Source organism: Homo sapiens, chromosome 9, assembly GCF_000001405.40.
Source record: "Homo sapiens chromosome 9, GRCh38.p14 Primary Assembly".
Taxonomy (NCBI): Eukaryota; Metazoa; Chordata; class Mammalia; order Primates; family Hominidae; genus Homo; species Homo sapiens.
This window is the reverse complement of record NC_000009.12, coordinates 129,181,739-129,209,715: the sequence shown is the minus strand read 5'-3', so window position 1 is coordinate 129,209,715 and position 27,977 is coordinate 129,181,739. Positions and strand designations below refer to the sequence as shown.

The 27,977-nt window shown below is 52.5% G+C and overlaps 1 long non-coding RNA gene across 2 annotated transcripts, besides 3 other annotated features; it reads right to left on the bottom strand.

The window, feature by feature from the left end:
- Window positions 1-8: 8 nt before the first annotated feature.
- LOC105376289 (uncharacterized) lies at window positions 9-27,945 on the bottom strand. 2 transcript variants are annotated; one of them, XR_007061813.1, is made up of 2 exons: window positions 26,532-27,945; window positions 9-847 (listed from the first exon to the last, which is right to left on the bottom strand). It is a non-coding gene; the product is annotated as an uncharacterized LOC105376289 (long non-coding RNA). The 2 variants fall into 2 exon arrangements; XR_007061812.1 differs by lacking the exon at window positions 26,532-27,945 and adding an exon at window positions 1,012-1,111.
- Window positions 6,469-6,878: a silencer, noted in NCBI's record as "silent region_20369". NCBI's record gives its function as "represses an Ori minimal core promoter by ATAC-STARR-seq in GM12878 lymphoblastoid cells {active_cell/tissue: GM12878}" and the evidence as "EXISTENCE:reporter gene assay evidence [ECO:0000049][PMID:35858748]".
- Window positions 6,469-6,926: a biological region, named in NCBI's record as "Sharpr-MPRA regulatory region 2152".
- Window positions 6,632-6,926: an enhancer, noted in NCBI's record as "tiled region #2152; HepG2 Activating DNase matched - State 4:PromP, and K562 Activating DNase unmatched - State 1:Tss". NCBI's record gives its function as "activates a minimal TATA promoter and a strong SV40 promoter by Sharpr-MPRA in HepG2 and K562 cells {active_cell/tissue: HepG2 | K562}" and the evidence as "EXISTENCE:reporter gene assay evidence [ECO:0000049][PMID:27701403]".
- Window positions 27,946-27,977: the final 32 nt, after the last annotated feature.

Here is a 27,977-nt window from a genome sequence, read left to right as displayed (position 1 = left end):
AATACCTGTTTTCCAGCCTGACATTCCTGCATTTATTCACTCATGCAACATTCAAATAGAATACATTGAGCACCTACTGTGCACTAGGCTCCGGGCTAGGTTCTGTGGACTCCATAGTGTGAGCCAGAGGGACAGGCCCTGCCTCGTGGAGCCACTTGTCCCTTGGGATCTGAAGGTCATGGAGACTTCGGGGCACAGGGACAGGGTATTTGGGGTACTGCCTGTGTCTGGCAGGGTGCAGGCCAGAAGAGGATAGTGCTGGCCAAGATGTAGCAAGTTCACCAGCCAAGCAGTGGGCAACGGCAGAGCCACCCCAAGCTTCCCCATCAATGTCATTGTCCTGCACCCATCCAGAAAGCCAGCTGCCCATCCCCCCCATTCCTCCCTCTCTGCAGCCCTCCTCTGAGTCCGGAAATCCAATCAGCTTCCTCAACCCAGCAAGACTCAGGGAGTCCCCTCTCTTTCAACAAGATATTCACCTGCAGGCAAACTTGGAGGTGAGCTGGGTGTCTCTTTTTCTTCGTTTTTTCCAACCAGTGCCCAGGAAATGAGGGTGGCTCTTGAAGGGCAATGGCTTCTCTTCAGAGCCCAGGGACGCTGGGGCAGTGGCTACATCCACTCTCTGCAGGTCCCTGTGTGCGGAGGCTGAGCTGGCCGTAGGGAGACGCAAATGGTCAAGTCCCGAGTTATGCACTCAAGCGGTTCAAGTCTAGTTGGAGAGCCAGACGCACACTCCATAAAACTGCAACAAGGGAAGTGCCACGATGGGGAGTGCGGTGATGGGGAGTGCAGGTATCCAAAGGGCACAAGCCCCACTTCCTGGAGGGAGAGACACCTGAGCCGGCTCCTAGAGAGTAAGAAAGAAATGCTGAAAGGGGTGTGGCTCCCAGGGACTCAGGGGGAGGGTGGCCATGGTTCCGCAGGAGGCTGGGCTCCAGAGAAGAGGCTGAGAGGCAGGCCGGACAGGAGAAGGTAGAGCCTGCAGGCCAAGGGGAAGGGTCTGAACTTTACCCAAGGGCAATAGGGAGCCATTCCAGGCCGTTCAGCAACAGAGAGGCCTGGGCAGATGTACCCTCAAATGTTCCATCACAGGGGCGGCTGTGGGGAAGACAGGAAGTGGGAGGGGCCAGGCTGGAGGAGAGCAGGGGGTGGGAGGGTCCCACAGCGATCAACGTGACAGACTCCAAGCTGATCCTGGGAGCCTACAGGGCAAGCCTCTTTCTATGGCCCCCAGCAATGGAAACTCCAGAACTCTCCAGGGCTGCTTCTGTGGCCTCCACCTCAACCTCCTCCAAGGCGTGGCCAGAGATGCAGAGCTGCAAAAGGGCCTGTGTGGGCCTGAGCAGTTAAGAACTTGGAGTCAAGCCCGGCAAGGTGGTTCACGCCTATAATCCCAGCACTTTGAGAGGCTGAGGTGGGAGGATTGTTTGAGTCCAGGAGTTCGAGATCAGCCTGGGCAACAAAGTGAGGCCTCATCGCTAACAAAAAAAAAAAAAGTCGGGCATGGAGCCGCATGCCCATAGTCCCAGATGTTCTGAAAGCTGAAGTGGAAGGATCACTTGAGTTCAGAGGTCAAGGCTGCAGTGAGCTATGATCACACCACTGCACTCCCCTCCAGCCTGGGTGACAGAGACCCTGTCTCTAAAAAATAATTAACTTAATTTTTTTCAAAAAAGAACTTGGGGTCAAAGTCAGAGAGACTTGCTGGGCCACATGCGTGTTTGCAAAACCTTGAGAAGGCCGCCACCTCTCTGAGTCTCCATCTCCTCCTCACCTGCAAAATGAAGATAGTACCCATGAATCCCCTCAAGGGAGGTGGAGAGAATTAATGAGAAAATAAACATCAAGTGCTAGCGTGGTGCTTCTCAACAGATGTTGGTTCTTTATGACCAGTAGTGGCAGTGAGCAGGTATGACTATTATATAGACCCAACCGTTTATAAAATCCCAACCCCTCCACCCCAGGCAGCCGGGTTCCAGTGTTCCTGGTCTTTTCTACCTGTCTTTTTGATGCCTTCTGCTCTGAAAGATCCCCTCCCAGACTCCCAAACTAGTAAAATCCTGCCTATGCCTCCAAGGCCACCCCAGAGATCACCTCCTCCACAAAGCCTGCCTGGATTCCCCTTCCCCACAACACAAAGACTCTCACAGCCACAGCCACCAGGGCTCACCTCTGCAGCAGCTCCTAGTGTCCCATGCTCTAAAAGGCTCGTCACTTTGTCACCTGTCCCTTCAAACGGAGGGCTGGGGCCAGGCCCCAGAACAGGGGCTGGTACGGAGCAGGTGTTCAGTAAATATGGGATGGATAGGTAGACAGAAGGACAGACATATGGGTGAAATAAGCTTTCTGCATTCATCAGAACTAGTCGCAAGGACAGAAAGCCAACTCAAATTGTCCTAAGCCAAAAGGGATAGACCGTGTCAGGCAAGGCTGGATCCGGGTTGATATAGTGTGGATCTGTGTCCCCACCCAAATTTCCCGTTGAATTGTCAACCCCAATGATGGCGGTGGGGCCTGGTGGGAGGTGGCTGGATCGTGGGGATGGGTTTCTCATGAGTGGTTTAGCACCGTCCTCTTAGTGCTGTTCTTGTGATACTGAGTGAGTTCTCATGAGATGTGGTTGTTTAGAAGTGTGTGGCACCTCCCCTCTCTCTCTCTCTCTTGCTCCTTTTCTGGCCATGTGACATGGCTGCTTCCCCTTCACCTTCCGCCATGATTGTAAGTTTCTCCAGAAGCCAAGCAGATGCCAGCACTATGCTTTCTGTACAGCCTACAGAACTGTGCACCAATTAAACCTCTTTTCTTCATGAGTTACCCAGTCTCAGGTATTTCTTTACAGCAATGTGAGAACGGACTAATACACAGGTGTTCAAACAATGTCTCCCTCCCGCCATCCCCTGTCAATTTCTCAGCTCTGCTGTCTAGTGTTGGCTTCATCTTGCGCAGGCTGCCCACACAGTTGACCCTGGCAATTCCAACCTTGTATCCTACCAGCCTAGGCTCCCTGGCAAAAAGAGAGCTTCCCTTCCCCTTTCTTTGCTCCCAGGTCCCAGGCCTGCATCTCACTGGCCTGCCTTGGGTCACATGACTGCATGCTCACCATGTGCTGATTGGCCAGCCTGGGATGACAGGTGTGCTCCTGAAGGACAGGGGACCACTTCAAAAAGGGACCTGAGGGTGACTGAGAGGGTGGGGTGCTGGGCAGGTAAACACAGCCACACCCATGTCCCAATTTCACCCCCATGGCGGATCTGCAGGCCAGGTCTGGAGGACAGAAACCCTCTGCTTTGGCCAGAGGGTAAAGAGTAGACAGAGGGCCCTGCTCAGAGGACTCGGCCCAAAGAGGAAACAGACAAGCTAATGCATCACAAGGAGCTGCACTGCGCAACAGTCAAATGGCCAGGCAGAAGGAGAAAGCCGGTCCCCCAGCCCAGGGGGCCTGGAGGGCTCTCTAGAGCAGGGTTGGGGGTCCTGTCGTGCCCATCCTTGCCGTGCATCCCCAACCCTCCTCCCACAGGGGTAACCACCCGGCCCACCCCACCCCATAGACATTCCAAGCCACACCCCTAGGCCCTGGGTGAGTCTCCAGCTCTGATGAGGCCCTGATTCTGGGGCGCAGGTTTCCCTGCGTGTAGGGAGAAGGGCACCTCGCCCATACTGTGTATTGAGAGGCATTTCCACAGCAATCAAAAAACTCAAAAGCAGACCAGGCGCAGTGGCTCACACCTATAATCCCAGGACTTTGGGAGGCCGAGGTGGGTGGATCACTTGAGGTCAGGAGTTCGAGACCAGCCTGGCCAACATGGTGAAATCACATGTCTACAAAAAATACAAAAATTAGCCAGGTGTGGTGGCGCACGCCTGTAGTCCCGGCCACTCGGGAGGCTGAGGCCGGAGAATCTTTTGAAACCAGGAGGCAGAGGTTACAGTGAGCCATGATCGTGCCACTGTACTCTAGCCTGGGTGACAGATCAAGATTCTGTCTCAAAAAATAAAAATAAAACAAACAAAAAACTCAAAAGCAGCCACCTCCTCCTCCTTCCCTCCCAATAACAATAAAAGTAATAATAACAGCTACCCAGTACTGAACAGCATGCTCTCTATCTGCACCCCTTGAGGAGGCTGGTATTATCACCATTCTGCAGACAAGGACCCAAGGATTAGAAAGGGGACATCACAGATGTCCTGCAGTCAGAGTGGAGCTGGGACCGGACCCCGATCTGGCAGACTCCAGAGCTGTGAGCTCGAGGCTCCATTGCTGCCCGCCACTCTGGAGCAGTGGTCTCCACTCAGTGCCCACCACCACTACCTCAAGAGCTGCTTAAAAATCCATATTCCTGGCTGAGCATGGTGGCTCATGCCTGTGATCCCAGCACTTTGGGAGGCCTAAGTGGGCAAATCACTTGAGGTCAGGAGTTTGAGACCAGGCCAGCCAACATGGCAAAACCCCATCTCTACTAAAAATACAAAAAAAGTAGCCAGGTATGGTGGCATGCACCTGTAGTCCCAGCTACTCTGGAGGCTGAGGTAGGAGAATCGCTTGACCCTGGGAGGCAGACTGGCAGTGAAAGATCACGCCACTGCACTCCAGCCTGAGCGACAGAGAGAGACTTCGTCTCAAAAAAAAAAAAAAAAAGAATCCAAACTCCTGGGCCCCACCTTGGATTCCACGTATCAGGATGTCAGAGCAAGAGGGCCCAGGAATCTGCATTTAGCCAGCGTTCCAGAGATTCCAACACAGCCAGCAGACATCTGGAGAAACCACTTGGCTTCCAGAATATCGACCCTGAAATTCAATCAAAGAGGTGAAGAGAGGTGAAGACTGTGCCTGGTCCTCAGGAGCCAGGGCTGCCAGTGGAGAAGGGGCTCCTGAAGAACAAACGCCCCCCTCACCCCTCCCCGCACCCCCATGGCCCCACATACCCTAAGTTTTTAATCTGTACATATTCAGTGTCCTCTCCCTGTTCAAGCACGTGTGCAGTTCCCATCAGGATGGGAGGCGGGGGTCTCGGGCCAACACTTTCTGTGTGTTCCCATCTTTTTGTGAAGAAGAGGCCCCCAAGCATCATGAGAGATTTTTTTTCCTGCCATCTGAGTTGCATTTGTGAAGGGCTAATTGATTTGCTTCCCCATTTTTTATTAATCAAAGACAAACCCCAGCAGAGCCAGGCCTCTGATCTGGGGGATGAGGCCACACTGGGTGCCATCCTCACCCAGGGCACAGACACCCGACGTTTTCAGTGGGGTAAGGAGCTTCATTTCTGCTGGACCACTCGTGTCCAGAACACTCTGGAGAAGTCCAGGGGCCCGAGGGGCAGGGTAGGAAGCCTGGGATCCAGGCAGGGAAGTCATGCCCTGAGTCAAGCAGGCTGAGAAGGATCTGCCAGGGTGACCGTGGAAGCAAAAGTCAGGTGCTGCTGACAGTGAGGCCTGGGCTCCCTGCCTCTCCCTTCAGACATGACCAGGGCCACGGAGCACATCCCCCAGGATCTCACGGCCATCACCGCTAGCGCAGCCAACCCAGTTAAGGTTCACTTTTCAATAGCAGAGCCCCAGGCAACTTGCTGGGCCCGCAGACCCCAACATCTGGCACAAATCCTTCCTGCTCCTGCCACATCTGGAATGGGGGAGGGTGTGAAAATGACCCTCCCCTATTTTTCATGGCGGGCTCCTGACAGCTAGAGGCCGGGGAGGAAAAGATTTTTCTTGGACCTCACAGAAGCTCACTCAGCAAAAATCTGTGAGGGTCTCAGTTTCCCCCTCCAAGCAGCAGGGATGTTGCTCCTCCCCATATATCCCATACTCCCTCCTCAAACCCCTTGCTTCTGGGATTTGAGGGGGCATTGTGCCCCCTGAGGATGGCATTGTGCCAGCTCTTGCTGCAGCCCTGCCCTGGGAAGTCTCCTTCCCCTTCCCCTAAGGACACGCCGGGGCCTGAGAAGCAGGACCCCCAGGCTGGTTCCAGGCTCTGCCACTGAACCCTGGTCACGTTCCGCCTGGCCACTCTGCCCGAGAACCCGGCACGCATACTGGATTTGGGGATCAGAAACACTCTTCGCCAGGTGCTTCCCACGGGCCCTACTCACCTCTCCACCCCTCCCAGCGGCCCCTCCCCAGCCGTTCTCTGCCTGCCAGCCTCCCAGGCCTTCTTTTGCTTCCCCTAAAGCCTCGAAGCCCTCCTTCATGCTGTTCCCTCTGACTGGAACACCCTTCCCTGCTCCTGCCCTGGCCAACCCAGGCCTAGTCTGAATGTCACCGGCCCCTGGAAGCCTTGCCCATACCCCAGGTCCGTCAGGCCCCTGTGCCACCCTCCTCCTCTCCGGTGGGGTCATCTGGTGTGTCACTCAAGACTGAATGTCGGTGATCCCCTCCCCCGCCCACCCCGACTTTAAGCGCTGTCCCCAAAGGGCCAGACACACACTCGACAATCAAGGTGTGGCTAACGGAGACCGAAAAGGTTCCAGCGAGATCAAGCGTTTTAAAGCGCCCGGGGTGATGTTTGAGAGAGGAGGGTGGGGGAGTCAAGGGTGGGGCAGGATCCCAGCCCCGCCCCTTAAAGGGTCCCGGGAGTACGCGACAGAACTGTCCTGGGGTCCCCGGCGCAGTAGGATTAATTCAAAAGGCCTGCGGAGGGTGGAGGTCCCCCAGGGGAGGGGTCCTAGGGCCCCGTGAGCCGCGCGGGCGCCGGGCTGCTCCGCGAACGTCCGCGCCAGCGGCTGCCCGGGGGACAGGGCCTGAACTACAACTCCCATGATGCTGTGCGGCATGGCGGGCCCGGGCGGGGCGGGCGCTGGTGGCTCCGCCCCTCGCGGCCTTCTGGGGACTGTAGTTCTACCCGGAGGGGCGCGGCCTGGGTTTTGGGGCGTCTGGGCATTCTTATCGTCTCGGGGAAAGGGGAGCCTCTGCGGCCCGCGAGGAGGAAGGGACTGAGGGCGCTGACTGCCTGCAGGGCGGTCGGTGGCTCCCTTCTCTCCAGCAGCAGCCTCTCCCAGCATCATTTCCCAACAATACCAGCTGCTACAGTATTTAGTGAGCACCTACTATGCGCTAGGCCCTGTGCTGATCTCTTAAAGGACAAAGACAGAGACAGGCATGGTTCTTTGCTGAGCACACAGCCCAGGCAGGGAGACAGGCCAGGGATGTTTAATCACACAAATACATAATTACCTGTGATGGGTCCAAAACAACAGGGGCCACAAGGACGGGGACTTTTGGAACCAAGGACAGACACACAGAGTTAGACCACGGAATGGAATCTTTAGAATTTGAAGGGTGAATTTTATGGGTGGGTTGGGAAAATTCAGAACTAGCCCTGCCAACCCCTTCATTATACCGATGAGGAAATTGGCCCAGAGGCCAGGCGTGGTGGCTCGTGCCTATAATCCCAGCAGTTTGGGAAGTCGAGGTGGGTGGATCACTTGAGGCCAGGAGTTCGAGACCAGCCTGGCCAACATGGTGAAACCCTGTCTCTGCTAAAAATACAAAAATTAGGGAGGCATGGCGGTGCGCACCTGTAGTCACAGCTACTTGGGAGACTAAGACAGGAGAATCGCTTGCCCCAAGGGGGCGGAGGTTGCAGTGAGCCGAGATCATGCCACTGCACTCCAGCCTTGACGACAGAGCGAGACTCTGTCTCAAAAAAAAAAAAAGAAAAAAAAAAATTGTCCCAGAGACAGGAAGGGACTTTCCCGAAGTCACAAGCAGATCAGAGGAAGTTGGTCCAAGGAGGCCCACCCAGATGTTAAACTCCCAAGGACAGGGCCCCGGGTCTTACATGTCTTCTTGGCCCCCTCCCACCCCACCCCACCCCCCATACATGTCTCCCACCCAGCCCTGCATGGTTAGTGTGAGGAACAGCTCCACGGGCAAAGACAGCGAATGCCCTATGTCTGCCCTCAGTGAAAACACAGGGCTCGGGGCCTCGAAAATTGCACACTCCCTTGATGTGGCAGGAAAACAAGATTGACCGCATAGGGCCTCCAAGACCCTTGAATCATCCCTAAGAGAGTGGCCCTTCTACCCTGAGCAGGCAGGCAGAGATGCCCAGTGCGGGCTGAGCATGGAGCCCTTCTTCCAGAGTCTGCAGGGCGAGCACAGTCCTCATTCAAGCAAGGGAGCTTGCGTCTCTGCCTGTTCCCCATCAGTGAAAAATACACCCACCTCATGCCATCGTTCTAGCAGAAAAACCAAAGATGATGGATGTGTAGGGCATTTTCCAAGCAGAAGAGGTGCCAGTGTGAGTCACTATCCGCTGCATGCCCTGATGCGACGCCATGGGACAGCCAGAAGCCATCTGTGGCCTGCTGCTGGGTGCCAACCAGGGGACAGGCTGCCAGGGCTGGAGGTGTGCAATCCAGGAAGGAGAGGGGCTGCAAGCCTTTCTCCAAGGAATCAGGGCTTCATCGGAGCCCTGAGGATGCCCCCGTCAAGTCTCTGAGGTGAGCAGGGAATGGGCCTCCCTCGGTGACGTGTCTCCAGTGCTCAGTTTAAATAGCAGCTTCAGCAAATCTGAACGCACCATGGCTCCCTGCGGTCCTCCAGATGAAGTCTGCACTCTTCACCCTGACCCCTGCCCCTGACCCCTGGGGCTTTCTGTCCCCAGAATTCACCAAGGCCTTCCCTCCTTCGGGCCTTTGCAGGCCTTTAGGATTGCACCCCAAAAGTCAACCCAAGCTCTTCTCCCTTTCCTCCTTCTACTATAGAGACCAGCAAAATTTTAAGACTTGATTTTCTGGGGGCCAGGCGCTGTGGCTCACGCCTGTAATCCCAGCACTTTGGGAGGATGAGGCAGGTGGATCACCTGAGGTCAGGAGATCAAGACCAGCCTGGCCAATATGGTGAAACCCCATCTCTACTAAAAATATAAAAAATTAGCCAGGCATGGTGGCAGGGGCCCATAATCCCAGCTACTCAGGAGGCTGAGGCAGGAGAATCACTTGAACCCGGGAGGCAGAAGTTGCAGTGAGCCGAGATTGCACCATTGCATTCCAGCCTGGGCAACAAAAGCAAAACTCCATCTCAAAAACAAAACAAACAAACAAAAGAAAACCTCGATTTTCCAAGCCTCCTTGCTGTCCAAGGTGGCCATGTAACCCAGATCTAGCCAGTAAGTTAGAACAAAAGTCCCTGAGGAGCAATTCCCTTTCTGAATAAAGAGATGGAGCTGGCAAGGAAAAGGCCCTCTCACTCTTTGCTCTTCGGCCTTTTGCTCCTTCTCCTTCCTCTTGCCTGGAACATGGATGTGAGGCCCGGAGGTGCCGCAGCCATCTTGTGACCATGAGGCAGCAACTGTGAGGACACAGCCTCCACACTGAAGACAGTGAAAGGGAAGATAGAGCAGGGGTGGCCGTGCCATCTGTAAGTTACTACACCAACCCGACTACCCACCGAAGGCTTATCATTGGCTAAAGCAAAATCTTCTGTCTGTATAAGCCCCTGTATTAGTAGTTTCTTTATTTACAATGAACGTAATACTTATGCTACACAGCCAGCCCTTCACGAGGAACCCCTGCAGAACTTGCATTCTCACTCTCCTTGGGGCTCACTGCGTGCCCGCCACTGCGCTGGCCTCTCTTAGTTCTCTGATCACACTGAACTTATTCCTGTCTCAGGACCTTTGCACTGGCTGGGCCGGCTAGAGGCTGCTGGCTCTTCCTTACCACTCTGGCGGTCTCAGTTTAAACCCCACGTCCTGAAAAACGCCTTCCCTCTCTGCCGCACAATCTGTAGGAGCCTCCCCAGGCCCCTCTACCCCATGAGTCGGTTTCTTTTCCCCACCACTCCTTACTGCTGTCTGCTGCTTTCTCTACCTGCTTCTTCATCTGCTTGGTGCACAGAACGGCAGCTCCATAGGGAGTCCGGCTGCCTGTGTTGAGTGCCTCTGTGTCCCCAGTGTGTGGCATATAGTAAGTACTCAATAAAGGTTTGCTGGATGAATTATTCAGTGTCTTTTTTGTTTGTTTTGTTTTGGAGACAGAGTTTCGCTTTTGTCACCCAGACGAGTGCAGTCCCGCGATCTTGGCTCACTGCAACCTCTGTCTCCCAGGTTCAAGCTATTCTCCTGCCTCAGCCTCTCAAGTAGCTGGGATTACAGGCACCCACCACCACGCCCGGCTAATTTTTTGTATTTTTAGTAGAGATGGGGTTTCATCATGTTGGCCAGGCTGGTCTCAAAGTCCTGACCCCAGGTGACCCACCCGCCTTGGCCTCCCAAAGTGCTGGGATTACAGGCGTGAGCTACCAGGCCCGGCCATTTATTCAGTGTATTAATTAATGCCAATCTCTCTGCTGATGTGTCCTGTCTCTCTGCCTGGGAGCTGGAAACCCCCACTCTTTCCTTTGAGCTGTTCCTCCTGGGAAAGCCTTCCTGGCACTCCCAGACCTGGGCTGGGACATCTGTGGTTCCCGCACCCATGACTTTAGGTGTCTCTCTGCCGCCACCCTTTCACAATTCTAACTGCAAGGTGGTTGACGTCTTCATCTGTTAGATGTCATCTCCCCCTCCAGGCCATAAACTTCAAGAGGACAGGGACTATCTTCGTTTCCTGCTCCATGGCCCATGCCTGGCGCAGGTCGATGTGTTTGTTGAATGAATGAATGACAGCAGCTGCTTCCAGACTGGAAGATCTCAGGCTAGACGACAGGAGTCACCCAAGTCCCATCCCTTCCCACCCCAGCCCGCCCCCTCCCCCGGAAGAAAAACTAAATCAAAGCCGCGTGTCCCACCCAGTTCAGATCTGCCTTGTTCTGAACAAAGGGGCAGCTGGTGCCTCTGCCCAGACAGACGCCTGCATCAGCAACACGCAAAGCCAGCCTTGCCGCGCAGCCCGAGGGTCTCGGGGGGCTGTTCCTTAGCAAGATTTTGCCCCTTTCCCTCCACTTCATCCTCCTATTCACCCTCTCCCCCAAATAACAGCACACACCCTCAACCCTCGTGTGGAATTTTTCGTCTTCAAAGCACTTCCTAAGCATTAGCTCATTAGCAGAGCGGCCCCTTGACACCACGAGGCTGCTCCCTGGGTGTCTTCTGAGTCATAACGCTCGAGTTTACCGACAAAAACAAGTTTTTCCCATAGAGCGGATTCGGCGCCACAGCCAAGATCACTGTCTCAGAAAAAAAGGGAAGAAGGAAGGAGAGAAACACTGCCTCTGGCAAGCGCCAGCCAAGCACTGATCCCCGTGTCAGCTCTAAGCACTAGGAGACCCGAGAGATGCCAGGCTCAGCGTAGGGGCCACCGAAGCTTCCGTCCCCTGCCCTGGGCTGGAACCCTCCACCAGGAGGAGATGTCACAGCGTGGCCCCTGACACCTGGCACCTCTCCCAGCGTCTCTCCCTGCACCCACATCTGGTTTCCCACCACTAGGAATGTTTCCCGCCTCCCACTCCATCCCCACCCCGCAAACACAGCCATAAGCCCTAAGCCCAGAGGACGGGATAACCATTTGCTGCCTAATAAATGACGGGTGGTGTCAGCCAGCCCGGACAGAGGGCAGTTACTCTGGCATTGAACAGACCTGGGTTCAAATCCCAGATCTGCTCCTTACAAGCTCTGGGACCTTGGCCAAGTGGCCGAGACTGTTTCCTCGTCTGTGGAATGAGGCCGCACTGGCCCTGCCTCCCTCAGGGTCGTCTGTGAAATGATGAGTGGAGAGCACTGGGGCACTTGGAGTCAGCGATGTTCTCAGCCAAGGGAGCAGCTGCCAATTTCTCTGGTTTTAGGGGTTACAGAGTGGCTTCCATTCCAGAGGCAGAGCACAGGTCCCAGGGTAGGGGACTCAGTACTGGGCATTACGGAAGCCCCCACAAGAGTCAGGGAGGATCGTGGCCTTCTCCCTGCAGGAGGGGCTGGTCTTAGCACCCCTGCCTCTGTACCCCACACCATCTCATCCACAGAAGAGGCATTGAATAAAGATCCAAACTAAAAGCCTCATGTAAACCAATACAAAAGCTGGACTGGGCCATACATAGTGGCTCATAACTGTAATCCCAGCACTTTGGGAGGCCAAGGCGGAGGATCACTTGACGCCAAGAGTTTGAGACCAGCCTCGCCAAACATGGCAAGATCTGTCTACAAAAAATTTATTTTTTTGTTTTGTTTTTGTGAGACGGAGTTTCAGTCTTGTTGCCCAGGCTGGAGTGCAATGGTGAGATCTTGGCTCACTGCAACCTCTGCCTCCTGGGTTCAAGCGATTCTCCTGCCTCAGCCTCCTGAGCAGCTGGGACTACAGGCGCCCGCCACCACGCCCAGCTAATTTTTTGTATTTTCAGTAGAGATGTGGTTTCACCATGTTGGCCAGACTGGTCTTGAACTCCTGACCTTAAGTGATCCACCCACCTTGGCCTCCCAAAGTGCTGGGATTACAAGCATGAACCAACACACCCAGCCCCTACAAAAATTTTAAAAATTAGCCAAGCATGGTGGCATGCACGTGTGGTCCCAGCTACTCAAGAGATGGGAAGATTGCCTGAGCCGGGGAGGACGAGGCTGCAGTGAGCCATGATGACGCCACTGCACTCTGCTCCAGCCTGGGCAACACAGCAAGACCCTGTCTCTAAAAAAAGAAAAGAAAAGAAAATGGCTGGGTGCAGTGGCTCACGCCTGTCATCCTAGCACTTTGGGAGGCCAACATGGGTGGATCACAGGGTCAGGAGTTCGAGATCAGCCTGACCAACATGGTGAAACCCCGTCTCTACTAAAAATACAAAAATTAGCCGGGCGTGGTGGTGGCATGTGCTTATAGTCCCAGCCACTCAGGAGGCTGAGACAGGAGAATCGCTTGAACCCGGGAGGCGGAGGTTGCAGTGAGCCAAGATCTCACCACTGCCCTCCAGCCTGGGCGACAGAGTGAGACTCTGTCTCAAAAGAAAGGAAAGAAGGAAGGAAGGAAGGAAGGGAGGGACGGACAGACAGAGGGAGGGAGAGAGGAAGGAAAGAGAAAGGCCAGGTGCGGTGGCTCACACCTGTAATCCCAGCACTTTAGGAGGCCAAGGCAGGCGGATCACTTGAGGTCAGGAGTTCGAGACCAGCCTGGCCAGCATGGCGAAACCCTGTCTCTACTAAAAACATAAAAATTAGCCAGGTGTGTTGGCGTGAACCTGTAGTCCCAGCTACTCAGGAGGTTGAAGCAGGAGAATCGCTTGAACCCAGGAGGAGGAGGCTGCAGTGAGCCAAGATCATGCCACTGTATTCCAGCCTGGGCAACAGAGTGAGACTGTCTCAGAAAATAATAATAATAAATAAAATAAATAAATACAATGCAAAAAAATTTTTAAAGCTGGTCTGGGTCATGGAAAATGCACCAGAAACACTACTATCTAGAAACTCCTCCCTTGAGTCACAGCAAATATTGATTGGACCCCTACCACGCACCAGGCACTGTGCTGGGCACAGGACACTCCCTCTGGAGATGGTAGGAGACTGCTGGGCATCCCTCCAGGGCACATGCCAGCAACATCCTACTTCGTGCTCCAGCAAAAAGGTCCAAATGTATGTGGCCAAGCAGATGTGGGTGCGCCTTGAGGGCAGAAACCCTGTTCGCTGAGTAAGAACGCTGCTGGACAGTTCGGTGTCCATTTTGTCCCCAGCTACCTTCCTAACAGAACCCTGTTTTGTTCAAGTGGGCAAATATGCCCAGATACAAATACTCACTTCCCAGACTCCTTTGCAGCTAGCTGGGCTGCTTTACCTAATTCTAGCAATGAGATGAAATTAGGAGTCTCCTGCTAAGAATGACCAGGAAATCAATTGTTTTTCTGAAAAAAAGAGGAATTCACCTGGCAGGGGCCTTTTGTACTTTGCCCTTCACCCTTTCCCAATCACCACCCCAATTTTCCTGCCTGGAATGCTGTCCTGAGAGCTGGAGGTGAAGCAGCCGTTTTCTGCCACAAAGAGGAAAGCCACGTGCTAGGTGGCCAGAAGGGCGTCTCCAGAGGCTGCCCAGGCCTGACTGCCTCCCACAGCACCGTGTGCTTCCCGCTCAAGTCATCATTGTTGGGTTTCTGTGAGTCGCAGCTAACCACAAATCCCAACTCATCACCAGGCCACGTCGGAGACCCTCACCGTCAGCAGAGGGGCCAGCACAGAGCGGCCACTTAAGAAACATGCTTGAATGCAGGAGTGAAGGGCTCGATGCGGCAGAACAGACCCCTGAGGTGCCCTGCGGCCCGGAGTCTCCAGACCTGAACTGCAAACTCAGCCCCAAAGGGGAGAGTGCCAGCATGATTCTATCAGACCTACAGAGCCTGGATTCCTCCAGGGCCACACCGTGTGACCCTGAGCAAGTGCCCCCCCCTCTCTGGGCCTCAGTTTCCCTGAGAAGTTAGTGTGTGGGACTTGGTGGTCTTTGTGGACGGTCTTTTAGGGAAGCAGCCAGATTCAGGGTCAGCAACCCCATGATTCTTCCTCCTCTTCTTTCGGGTACGGGAAGGAGGGCTCCTCTCACCTTCAAATCCAAATGCCATGGGGTGGGGGGTTGATAAATCTGGGGACTGGTCACTATCGGAGGAGGGCTGGCACTGACGGGTGCCTCGTGCCAAGCGCCATGCGCTGTCTCTCTGAATCTTCATGCCACCCCGTCACACAAGTGCTCTTCTTTTTTTACTTTATTTATTTGTTTTTTTTGTTTGGTTTGGTTTTTTAGAGTCAGGGTCTTGCCTGTCACCCAGGCTGGAGTGCAGTGGCTCAATCATACCTCACTGCAGCCTTGAACTCCCGGGCTCAAGCGATCCTCCCACCTCACCCTCCCTAGTAGTTGGGACTACAGGCTAGTTTTTTATTTTGTAGAAATGGGGCCTTGCTATGTTGCTCAGTCTGGTCTCAAACTCCTGGTCTCAAATAATCCTCCTGCCTTGGCCTCCCAAAGTTCTGGGATTACCAGCTTGGGTGGGCTCCTCTTATCCCTGTTTAACAAATGAGGAAACTGAGGCTCAGGGGTTAAATAACTCCATTGAATTTCCAGGGTGGGCATGTGGCAGCACCAGGACGGGAGAGCTGAAGGGATAAAGCGGCAGTTAGCTGCTACCCTAAGTCAGGTCGGGGGTAGGTAAGGGGAGACCTACAAGAAGAGAATGATTTTTCCCCAGGGAAAAATGCCCGAGGCAGTCCCAGATCCAGACCCTGGGTCCTTCTGCCTCCAAAGTGGGTGCCCCCACCACTGATTTCGCCTACCAGGAGGAGCTGGCCACTGAGTGGGGAGGATAGCAGGATTAACAGACACCAGTGTGAACCTGGATCCATGACATGTTTGCTAAGCAGAGATGTTCACAGTCACAGGGACAAAGAACAGTGGATGGTTCTAACGGGGAGATCAAGGAAGGCTTCCTGGAGGAAGCAGCTTTGGAAGGGGAGAGTTTGAAGGGTTGGGAACAGAGAGGGGATTGTATTCTAGGCACAAAGAACCCACAGGAGGGCTGAGAGTTGGCTCCTGGGTGCTCTCCTCTGAGTGTGGGGAAAGGCTGACTGTAGAGGCAGCTCACCCGAGACACTGTCTCCCCCATAAGACCATGCACTCCTCCAGAGTCTTCCTCAGGGCATGGCACAGGCAGGGCTTGGGGAGGGACGGAGAGAGGGAGGCTGGAGTCTCGCCACCCTGGATGTTGAGAGAGGAGACAAGAGGCTGGCTGAGGCTCAGTCGGGTCTCAGGGCACCTCAGGGAGAGCAGGGAATGAGGTGGGTACTCTCGAGGGGCCCCAGCATGGCACGTGAGGCAGCTCTGTCCCCTGCGTCCTCACCTGTTCCCATGTCTCCCTCTTTCTGGAACTCAGAGAACCCCCAGCTGCCCCTGGGAGGCAGGAAGTGCTAGGTGACAGGGAGGACAAGAGGGAAGTGCGGATTAGACTCAAGTTTGGGTCAGTGTGACCTGGCCCTCCCTCCTGAGACTCTGTGTCATGAACAAGCCCTGCTGTGATTCTGAGGCACAGCCAGGTCTGAGAAGCACTGGCTTAGCCTGTGCAAATCTCGGTTTCCTTCCCTGGAAAATGGGGGAGTGTAAGTCCCACCCCCACAGCAGAGCCATGAAGGCGATGAGATGGGAGCGCTTAGCAGCAGGTGAGAACCCAGCAAACCCTGGTGACTGTTATTCCACACTAGTCACTGGCAGAGCCGCGCTCTCAACCAGGTGTACCAAACTACTAATGGGGCCGCAGCACTGAGGCCATGGCTGTGCAGACCAGGAAACTGCCCGTACAAGAAGCTGGGGAGGATCATTTGATTTGTGAAAAGTTCGTTGTGGCCAAATAGTCTTTCCGCATCTCCCAGATCACTTTTAAAATGCAAATTGTATCAATAAAGAGGAGAGCGTAATGCAGTAATTAGCAGAGGGGAAAGCAGAAAAGTGAATAAACCAGAAAACCAAAAATCAGCCTCCTCTACCCACCCCTAAACATGCCCAGCAGGAGTCAAATATTAATTAAGTGCTTCTTCCATTTGGACCTCCTGTTTGCAGGACTCATTCATGTTTGTTATAACAACACCACAGGAGCCAACCAACAAAACCCAGCTCTTCAGAAGAGCCCAAAGTCACCAGCAGAAACAGACACCTGGCTGGGCTGGAACTTGGGGAATTTTCTCTTAAAACAAATGTCCCCCCAATTTTCAGTTCAAATCCTTGTATATGATGCCAGGAAGCAGAGGGGAGTCCTTGGATTGCAAGTATTTGCAGGTATTCAGAGCTGTCAAAAACTTGCACTCTTGAAAATAATAATCCCACAGAACATTTAATTATCATGGTATTAGGGCACAAAGAAGATTTCAATGGGTTCCTAAATAAGATACATTCTCAACACAATGAAATGGAAATGTTAAATTAACAGCTAGAGATTGATTGTTGGTGGTGGTGGTGATGGTTTTTAATTTTTTTGAGATAGGGTCTTACTCTGTTGCCCAGGCTGGAGTTCAGTGGTGTCATCATAGCTCACTGCCACCTCAATGTCCCAGGCTCAAGCAATCTTCCCACCTCAGCCTCTTAAGTAGCTAGGCACAGGTGCACACCACCACACCTGGCTAAGTTTTTATGTTTTGTAGAGACAGGTTCTCACTATGTTGCCCAGGCTGGTCTTAAACTCTTGGCCTCAAGTGATCCTCTCACCTCAACCTCACACAGAAATTTATTTTTAAAAATCTAACTTGGTGGAAACTTGAAAACCGTCTCCCGAATAACTCCTGAAATAAAGAGGGGATTCAAAAAAAATTACATACTATTTTGATGTTTCACCCTATTTGGACATTAAATAAAATGAGAGTATTGCATACTACAACTTATAGGATGCAGCCAAAGCAACACTCAAAGGACAATTCATATTCACAAATGCATCTAAAATGTATCACGTTTTTAAGAAAGAGACTTTTTAAACAGAAAGTTGGCTTACCAATTAAACAGCCTCTGAGAAGGCAAAAAAATTCTGAGAACCAGCTGGGCGCGGTGGCTCATCCCTATAATCCCAGCACTTTGAGAGGCCAAGGCAGGTGGATCACGAGGTCAGGAGATCGAGACCATCCTGGCTAACACAGTAAAACCCCATCTCTACTAAAAAATACAAAAAATTAGCTGGGCATGTTGGCGGGCGCCTGTAGTCCCAGCTATTTGGGAGGCTGAGGCAGGAGAATGGCGTGAACCCGGGAGGTGGAGCTTGCAGTGAGCCAAGATCACGCCACCACTCTCCCGCCTGGGTGAAAGAGTGAGACTCTGTCTCAAAAAAAAAAAAAACTTCTGAGAACCTGTAGTTGTCTTGCCAAATTTCCTTAAAGCTCATACAACAGAAAAATTACTAATAGTTTTCCCTCCAAAAATTATCCATCTCCAAACTTGCCTATGGTGATGAAATGCAAAGAGTAGTCAGCGATGTGTTTCTGTACAGCAGGTTTACTGTCTCCATTAGACAAAGAAAGCAAGCTACGGCCAGGCACGGTGGCTCACGCCTGTAATCCCAGCACTCTGGGAGGCTGAGGTGGGCGGATCACTTGAGGTCAGGAGTTCAAGACCAGCCTGGCCAACATGGTGAAACCCCATCTCTACTAAAAATACAAAATTAGCCCAGCATGGTGGTCCATGCCTATAATCCCAGCTAGTCGGGGGGCTAAGGCAGGAGAACCACTTGAACCTGGGAGGCAGAGGTTGCATGAGCCGAGATTGTGCCCTTGTACTCTAGCCTGAGCAACAGAGCCAAACTCCGTCTCCAAAAAAAAAAAAAAAAAGAAAGAAAGAAAGAAAGCTAGAAAAAGCCCCGATGCCTACAGGGAGTGTCACCTCCGGTGCTCTTCTCATTACTGGTTGCAATTTGATGCCTTTCCTGAAGCATCCAGATAAGCGCTGGCTGGCGAGTCCAAGGAGGCCAAAATTCTAGACTCTGGCTCTTCCACAAATCAGATGTATGGCCTTAATCAAGTCACTTAATATTTATGTACCAGTCAGCTTTTGCCGTAAGGATGCTGTGTAACAATGTCAAATTTTCAAAGGCCTGCACAAACATTTATTCTCACATTCATGGGTCTGTAAGTTGACTGCAGTTTGCCTGGTCTAGCCTGGGCTCAACTGGGTAGTTTTGTTCCAAGTTGTGAATCAGCCAAACCACGTTCCAAGCTGTGGGTTAGATTCAAGTCATCTCCATGTGTCTCCTCTCCACATTTTTTTTTGGAGGGGGGACAGAGTCTCACTCTGTCACCGAGGCTGGAGTGCAGTGGCCAACCTCGGCTTACTGCAACCTCTGCCTCCCTGGTTCAGGCAATTCTCCCGCGTCAGCCTCCCAAGTAGCTGGGATTACGGGCATGCGCCACCACACCTGGCTAATTTTTGTATTTTTAGTAGAGACGGGGTCTCACCATGTTGGCCAGGCTGGTCTCAAACTCCTGACCTCAAATGATCCATCCGCCTCAGCCCCCCAAAGTGCTGGGATTACAGGCGTGAGCCACTGCAGCCAGCCTGAGTCTCAGTTTTCTTATCTGTAAGATGGAGCTGATGGAAATTCCTACCTCATAGGAATCAAATAGTACCTAAACTCTGTGTTGGTTGTCTTTAGACCTGGGTTCTGTCCCACTCCTGCCCAGTGGGGAAATGGGGCTGCCAGTCCTGGAACTGGGGAGTGAGGCCAATACCACCTAAACCGCAGGACTCTTCCTCAACAGAGAAGAGGTGGAACCCATGCCAGGGAGTTCAGCACAAAGCCTACTGTCAGAGCTATACACATTTTTTAAAGTTTTGTTTAAGTCTTTGGATTTTTTTTGTTGTTGTTTTTTGTTTGTTTTCTGAGATGGAGTCTCGCTTTGTCGCCCAGGCTGGAGTCCAGTGGCGCAATCTCAGCTCACTGCAACCTCTGCCTCCCGGGTTCAAGGAATTCGCCTGCCTCAGCCTCCTGAGTAGCTGGGATTACAGGCACCTGCCACCACACCCAGCTAATTTTTGCATTTTTAGTAGAGACTGGGTTTCACCATGTTGGTCAGACTAGTCTCAAACTCCTGACCTCGTGATCCACCCGCGTCGGCCTCCGAAAGTGCTGGGATTACAGGTGTGAGCCACCGCACCTGGCCTTGTTTAAGTCTTTTTTATCTGTAGAAATGGGATCTCGCTATGTTGCCCAGCCTGCTCTCAAACTCTTGGCCTCAAGCAATCCACCTGCCTTGCTGTCCCAAAGCACTGGGATTACAGGCCTGAGCCACCCCACCCAGCCTATTCTCATGCTTGTTTACAATCAAATTTAGTTATGGAGTTTCCAAAACTGCTTAAGTCCCACTAAAATGTTCACAAGGATCGCCTCCCATCACCGGGCCCCTCTGATGCTGTAAGAAAGGCTGCTGTCACTCATTTTATCAGCTGCCTTTTCAGCTTCATCAGAATCTGATTCCCTCTGGCCCAAAACTAACCTAGTGGGCATGGCGGGCATGCCCCGGGCATCCTCATCCCGAATCTTAAAGACAGAAGGGCTCAAAGAGACTCCCTTTCCAGGCTTGGTCTCAGGACCCTCCCCCTGTCAGTCCAGCCTCATTTTTAAGGCCCTGGGGAAGCCAGATGCAGGAGAGTAGAGCCATTAGCATTTGGGTTCTGGGAAATAAGAGACTGGGGTTCACACCCCAGCCCTATGACTTTCTGACGTTGTGAGTCTAAGAAGAGCAGGTGAGCTCTGTGGACCTCAGTTCCCTCTTTCGAAATGGGGCTGGCGACTGCATCCCAGCGTGGGCATCTGCACGCAGCAGTGGAGGGTGATTCAGAGTATGGGCTCCGGAATAGGGCAGCACTGGTTGGAACCGCAGCTCTTCCAATGAGGGATTCCAGCAAAGCCCTGGTCTCTTAAAATCCCCCGTAAAATGGAGATGATACAAGCGCTTGGTGGGGTGTTTTTAAAAATCTTGTGTCATGAACAAGCACACTGCCAAATATATACTCAGTTCGAAAGAAACAATGGTTCCCTTCCCCTCTCCGTGACCCTAATAGGCCGCCCTAACCAACACAGGGACAGAACTAACTAGTCACTAAGTGTGAGATGATGGGGCATGCTGTATGTCATGCCTGCCTTGTAAATGTTCATTATCTCAGTGTTCACTTAGGCTATAAAAAAGTAAATGAACAGGCCGAGCGTGGTGGCTCACGCCTGTAATCCCAGCACTCTGGGAGGCCAAGACAGGAGGATCACTTGAGGTCAGGAGTTCCAGACCAGCCTGACCAACATGGTGAAACCTCGTTTCTACTAAAAATACAAAAATTAGCGGGGTGTGGTGGCACACGCCTGTAATCCCAGCTACTCGGGAGGCTGAGGCAGGAGAATCACTTGAATCCGGGAGGCAGAGGTTGCAGTGAGCTAAGATCACGCCACTGCACTCCAGCCTGGGCAACAAGAGCAAGACTCCATCAGATAGGTAGATAGATAGATAGATAGATGATAGATAGATAGATAGATAGATAGATAGATAGATAGATAGATAAACGTTAACTAGTCCAATGAGTATAATGGCCTGACTTTGCCAAATCGAAGGTGTTATCAATGGTAAGACACTTCTCAATTTTAGAGATGTTAGATATGGGAGGAAGGTGGTGACTTAGAATAGATTAAATTCAGTGTATGATATTACGGTGAGACCATCAAGCTGTGGTTTCATAGAATTAAATATTATCGATTTCATTAGACAATTAGAAAACCCCGTCTCTGTGGGTATATTGCAAGCCACTGTCCCTTCCCCTTCTCTTCTGTCTTGGAAAGGGCATCAGACATAGTAGATACTCAACAAATGTCCGCTGAAGGAGTGAATCGATCCATCCCTCTAGTCATCAAAGAATCAGTGAATGAATCAACAGTGAATGGGGCCGGGTGCAGTGGCTCAAGCCTGTAATCCCAACACTTCGAGAGGCCGAGGCGGGTGGATCGCCTGAGGTCAGGACTTCAAGACCAGCCTGGCCAATATGGTGAAACCCTGTCTCTACTGAAAATACAAAAATTAGCCGGCATGTTGTTGGGCGCCTGTAATCCCAGCTACCTGGGAGGCTGAGGCAGGAGAATCACTTGAGCTTGGGAGGCAGAGGTTGCAGTGTGCCGAGATCGCACCACTGCATTTTAGCCTGAGCGACAGAGCAAGACTCTGTCTCAAGAAAAATAAAAGAATGATGCTTGTTGATTAAACAGCAGTGCTCAACCTTAGCAGAAGGACAAGACTGATTAAAACTTTTTTTAAAAGAGGGCCTTCAGCCAGGCATGGTGGCTCATGCCTGTAATCCCAGCACTTTGGGAGGCTAAGGAGGCAGATCATTTGAGCCCAGGGGTTTGAGACCAGCCTGGGCAACATGGCAAAACCCCATCTCTACCAAAAAAAAAAAAAATACAACAATTAGCCAGGCATGCTGGCGTGCACCTTTATTCCGAGCTACTCAGGAGACTGAGGCGGGAGAATCTCTTGAGCCCGGGAGTCGGAGGTTGCAGTGAACCACGATCACACCACTGCACTCCAGCCTGGGCAACAGAGCAAGACCCTGTCTCAAAAAAAAAAGGGCTTCATGCTAGACTGCTGTGATGTGAAAATATATTTTTGTACACATCTGATGCATGAGAAGCTAAACAGTTGTTCACCAAAATCCTTTCAAGAAGGCAATGTTTGTTCATTGAGAAAATACTAATTGGGCATCTATTATTTGTCAAGGACTAAGGAAGCTGCCAAGCAGAGACTTATGGACCTGTCCTCAGGGAATTTACAGTCTAATGGGGGAGATGGACAGACAGGTTAAAAAATAAACATTTTCTTAGTAGCTGTGTGATGAGAGGTGCCCACTATGCCCTCACCCCTACCACCAGCTGAGAGCATCATAGCTTATTTTTGTGATCAATGAACCAGTCAAAGATCCACTTTTTCATTGTTCAAGGCCCTGTGTCAGTGGCAACGCTGTGTATTCACTGAACCAGGTCATTTGGATGTGGAGAAATAGGGCTGCCAGTCCTGGAGCACACCTGAGGACTAAATTTCCCAGGCTCCCTTGCAGCTAGCTGATGACACATGACCCAGCTCTGGCCAATGGAAGGGAGGGATGCCAATTAGGGCTTCCCCATATAACATCCTTCAAAAAGAGAAAGAAGGAGACTTTCATTGGATCAAGCCTCAAAGATGCAGGAAGTTTGTTTTTGTTTTACAGACAGGGGTCTTACTATGTTGCCCAGGCTGGTCTTGAACTCCTGCCCTCAAAAGATTCTCCCACTTCAGCCTTCAGAGTAGCTGGGTGAACCACACTGTCCAGCAGGAATTATTTGTTACTGCAACAAAGCATAGCTCATCTCACACAGCCCTTTATAAAAATCCCTTCCATTTTCTTACGAATGAGGCAATAGGACTAAAGATGTCCTCGTTGGGCCGGGTGTGGTGGCTCACACGCCTGTAATTCACACACCTGTAATCTCAGCACTTTGGGAGGCTGAGGTGGACAGATCACTTGAGGTCAGGAGTTCAAGGCCAGCCTGACCAACATGGCAAAACCCCATCACTACTAAAAATACGAAAGTTAGCCGGATGTGGTGACGTGCGCCTGTAATCCCAGCTACTCAGGAGGCTGAGGCAGGAGAATCACTCGAACCCAGGAGGTGGAGGTTGCAGTGAGCCAAGATCGTACCACCGCACTCCAGCCTGGGCAACAGAGTGAGATTCCCTCTTAAATAAATAAAATAAATAAATAAGATGTCCTCGTTGCCAAGCAGAAAAATCAGGAACTGAGGAGAGACGCTGCCATGAGGAAGGATGAAGGCAGCAAGAAGGGAAGATGAGACACCAGGCTGGGCCATTGCAGCTGTCCCTGGAGGAGCAGCCACGGAGCAGAGCACTAGGAACCCATGAAACCAGGCTGCAAGAATGAGCAAGAGCAGCGTAGAGGATTGTCAGGGTTACACAGATATTCCCGCGCCTCCATTCTGAGTCCTGGAAGCCACCTTCTGCTTCCCGTTAAGTGCCTGCCCCCCGCCCCTCCCCTGCCAGGTGTCAGGGTTAAGCAAGCTGGCTGTGGAGACAAGCCAGTCTAAGGTGCAGTCGCTTACCCTCTCTGAGCCTCAGCCTCCCGGCCTGTGAAATGGGCGTGGTAATGAAAGTACCTCTGCTGCAGATTCTATCAGGAGGATTCACAGAGATGATTCATCAAGCAAAAAACTTAGTGGCGAGGACACGGCAAGTACTCAGGAAATAAACTAAGGAGAGGGTACTGGGGGCCATCACCCGGGACACAAGACAGAGAGACCCACTGTGCCACATTCTGGGGTCAGTTCTGGGAGAAGGCCCTGCCCCCTCCTCAAACCACGAGGTTCCACTCTCCCCAATGCACATCTCTCTCCCTCCTCTTCTCTGCCCCTTTGAAGCCACAGGCCAGGCGCCCTCCCTCGTTTCTACCCTCCTGAGGCCGGCATTGTGACTGTGGGCAGCTCACTTAGCCCCAAGTGTGTGTGTGAGTGCATGTGCGTGTGTGTGCTGTGTGTGTACGATGTGTGTGTGCCGTGTGTGTGTGTGCAGGGTGTGTGCGTGTGCATGTGTTTGCATGTTTGTGTGTCTGTGTGTGTGCATGCATTTGTGTATGTGCAGGGTGTGTGTGTGCATGTGTGTGGGCATTTGTATATGTGAGTGCATTGTGTGCACATCATGTTTGTGTGTGCATGTGTGTGCATATGTGGTGTGTGCAGGGTGTGTGTGCGTGTGAGCATGTGTATATGTGGGTGTGGGTGTGCGCATCATGTTTGTGTGTGCACATGTGTGTGCATGTTTGTGTGTCTGTGTGTGCATGTGTGGTGTGTGCATGTGTTTGTGTATGTTTCTGTGAGCATGTGTACATTTGGGTGCGTGTGTGTGCATGCATGTTTGTGTATGTGTAGGATGTGTGCGTGTGCATGTGTGTGTGTCTGTGTGTGTGTGTGTGATGGGCTAGCCAGTGTGGAGTACGGAAAGAGGCTGGCTGAGAGGTCTGAGTATGGATCATGCCCCGCTCCAGTCCGCCACTCGGTGGGAGGCCCCTGACCGGAAACTTCTTCCTATGCCTCAGTTTCCTCATCTGTATGACGAAGGCAATGACAGCGCCTGAGCCCCCAAGGGGCTGGGTGGACACAGGACACAGATGTCAAGGGCCCTGCCTGGTGCCCTTTCACCAACACAAGGTCAGGAACTGAAATTCTAATTGGCCCCATTTTTTCAAAAAAATTAAACAGGAATGAAAAGGAGCTTGGGAGAGGAATTGAGGGCAGACAGCCGGGGTTCGCTGTGCTCTCCTACTCTCTCCTCACACACACTTGAGAAATGATTTTTTGAGAAATGCTCTCAAAACGAAAACCAAAACTGCTTTGTTCCGTGCAAGTAGCATTAAGAATTCACTAGGGTGGGGAGCAGGAGGGGCACCAGTGCAGCTTGAGCTTCAGAACCGACGGCTGGAGAGTCTGGGAGCTGAGAAGGGGGACAGGCCCACCAGGGAGCACCAGACGGTGGTGGGAGGCCTGGGAGCCAGACACTCTCCCCTCCCTCTAGGCCCCACCCCAAGCCTGGCTGACTTCCCTTATCCCCTCCTCGCAAGCTTATTTATTTATCTGCTTACTTACTGCTTGCTTGTTTTTCCATCTGGAATGCCTGCACATGAGGCTCACGATGGCAGGGGCTGCTGTGGCACACAGTAGGCACTTAATATTTGTGAAAGGACCACTGAGCAAGTGAGGAAATGAATGAATGGTGGAAAGAGCCAGGGCGAAGCACAGCTGGCAAAGATGGATGAAGCTCAGACCAGAGGATGGGACCCACATAGCAGCGAGAGAGGTGTGGCTCCAGGTGTGCAACCTCACTTCCCCAGGTCTCAGTCTGGGAAAGGGGGAATGCAGTACCATCGCCTCGTGAGATCCTTTGGAGGATTAATGACAAATAATACATGTTACACGTTGTCCTGGGCCTGACACGATGGTGTCTACAGTTATTACTCATGGAGTGGGGAGTGGGGAGGAGAGAGGCACGTACGCCAGCTCCCACCACTCAAATGAAAAAAAAAAAAGAAAAAAAAATTATAGGATTCCTAAGACTCAAGGAGCTTCTCACTCCTTAGAAACTCCCAGCTGAGCTGGGGAAGGGACAAAGGTCTGTACTGAGTGAGTTATAAACAACTCAGCCAGGAAAGCTGAGCTGCCACCACCACACACACACACACACTCTCTCTCACACATGTGCACACACATGCACACACTCTTATACTCACATGCACACACGCATACTCACACACACACTCTTGCACACACACACACACACACACACACACACCAGCCCGGCCCAGGATTAACTCTGGCCTGCCCAGAGTGCTCAGCTCCAGGCAGGATCTTGAGAAAGGAGAAAAGAGGGCAGGGGAAGTTTCCGGTCTCAGCTCAGTACTAATCCCTTCACAGTGCCTCTCAACGTTCAAAGCACTTGTGAGTCAGGTGACAAATGAGGAAACTGAGGCCCGAGAGAAGCAATCTGCGTTCCCTAAGGATAACAAGGCCAATCTGAAGCTAGAACCCATTTCTCCAGCCCCCATCCCCCCAGTCTCCACCCTATCTGTTAGGCCACCCAGATGTGCAGAGCACTGAAGGACACCCCATCCTCACCCCAGAGCACCTCCCAGCAGGCTTGCCCTAAAAGCTCCAGCTGAGCCCTTGGCAGACATCACTAATCAATTGGAGCACCCAGGGCTCCAGGCAGACACCACTAGTCAATCAGATCTGGCTCCAAAGAATCAAGGATGCCTCAGCATGGCTCAGGGGAGTGACATCTGCCTGCCCTGCTCCTCACAGTTTAGCACAGCCCCTACACATTAGCCAGCATTCAGCCCATGGTGAATAAATGAATGAATGAATGAATGAATGAACAAATGAACACGCAGCCTTTGCCAGATGCTGGAGCAGGGACCCCAGATGTGAGATATCACATCTGTACCCTATGCACACTCCATGGACAAGTGCAGAATTCACCCAGAGGACCGACAAACGAAAGAGCCTCATTCCTCTCCCGAAGTTCCTAGTGCCCCGCCCCCCACCCCCAGAGCCCTGTGACGTCTCCTTCCTTTCGGTGTGAACAGGCAACTCACCCAAGCTCTCTGTGCCTCGGTTGCTCCATCCATGAAATGGGAATTATAACTGAACCTGCCTCAAAGGTTGGTGTGGAAATTCAGGGAGACTTGGTCCAGTGCCTGGTAAGAGCGAGAGCTCCAAGAAGAGCCAAACCACTGTCAGTCTTTCTCATTACACTTAAGGTCCTTGAAGCCAGGGCCACAGTGGCTTTCTGGGCACTAGGCCTATTGCCCAGGACTATGCTAGGAAAACACAGACAACAGCGAAGGGCGGGGGTCATTAACCTCCACCCGGGCCAGTGACAGGGAGCAAGTTCTGTGGGGCCAGCGGAGGCTACCCCAGATCCGCAGCCCTAGCCTCGTTCCCCAGTGTCCACCAGCTACAGCGCCACTGGCTCCTCAGCCTAAGAAAGAGAAGACTCAACAGTGACCCCTGTGGCCAGCCACACCCTCTGCCTTCCCTGCCACTGCCCGAAGCCCTGGGTTTCGGTCCCCACCCCTCTGGAACAAGCCACACTCCCAGCCAGAGACACAGTGCACTAGGGCAGCTAGAGGCAGGACCCGGAGGTGAGACGTCTGATTTCCAACCCCAGCTGTGGTCCCATGTCTTGAACACAGAGCACATCCCTCCTCTTCTCCAGACCTCAGTTTACCCATCTGGAAATTGAGGCTGGGGGTCAATCTGGTCTCCAGGGCCCTTCAAACTAGCAATGTTGTCTGCATCCTTAGGTTCATTGATTCACTCATGCCACAGGTCAGGGCCCACTGTGGACCCGGCCTTTGGCTGGGCCCCTTCGTTGCTGTTCTCGCTGCTAGAAGATCCCCCCTCTTCCTGGTCTCCAGGTCTCAGCTTCTCACTTCCCAGACCAGCCTTGGACCTTGGACCTGCCCTCCTCCAGCCCTGTCCTTCCAATCACAGACTTAGCTCTCAGTATTTTCTGGTCTATCTAGCTTGTCTGCTTCCCTCTGAATCGTGGCCTTCTGAAGGCAGAATCACATCTTGTTCCCTGACCCATTCCCAGGGACTCCAGAGAAGGATTCTGGAAGTATCTCTCAGGCAAATGAAAAATGAATGAATGTGTGAATTCCAAGTTTCTCTCCCACTTCCTCCAACACAACACCCCAATACAGTTTTTTGCCTATGGACCCCTTCCCCAAGTTAACCCCCGGGAGCCAACAGGGCAAATCCCACTGTGGATCAGGGGCCTTCCTAACCATGTCCCCTGCCACCAAGCCCGGGTGACCAGAAGGTGTCCACAGACATATGTGCACTTGTGAAGTGTTAACTGCTCTGATGGAGGGCTGACACCACCTGGGGTTTGATGGGAGCCCAGGTCCCCAGCGGTTCCATGCCCCAGCTCCATGCTGCCCCAGCAGACACTTGGTAAATACTGAGGCATTAATTAACTTCCTCCAGGGAGCAGTGACTCTGTGCCAGATGTAACCTCCCCAGCTCCAGGGGGA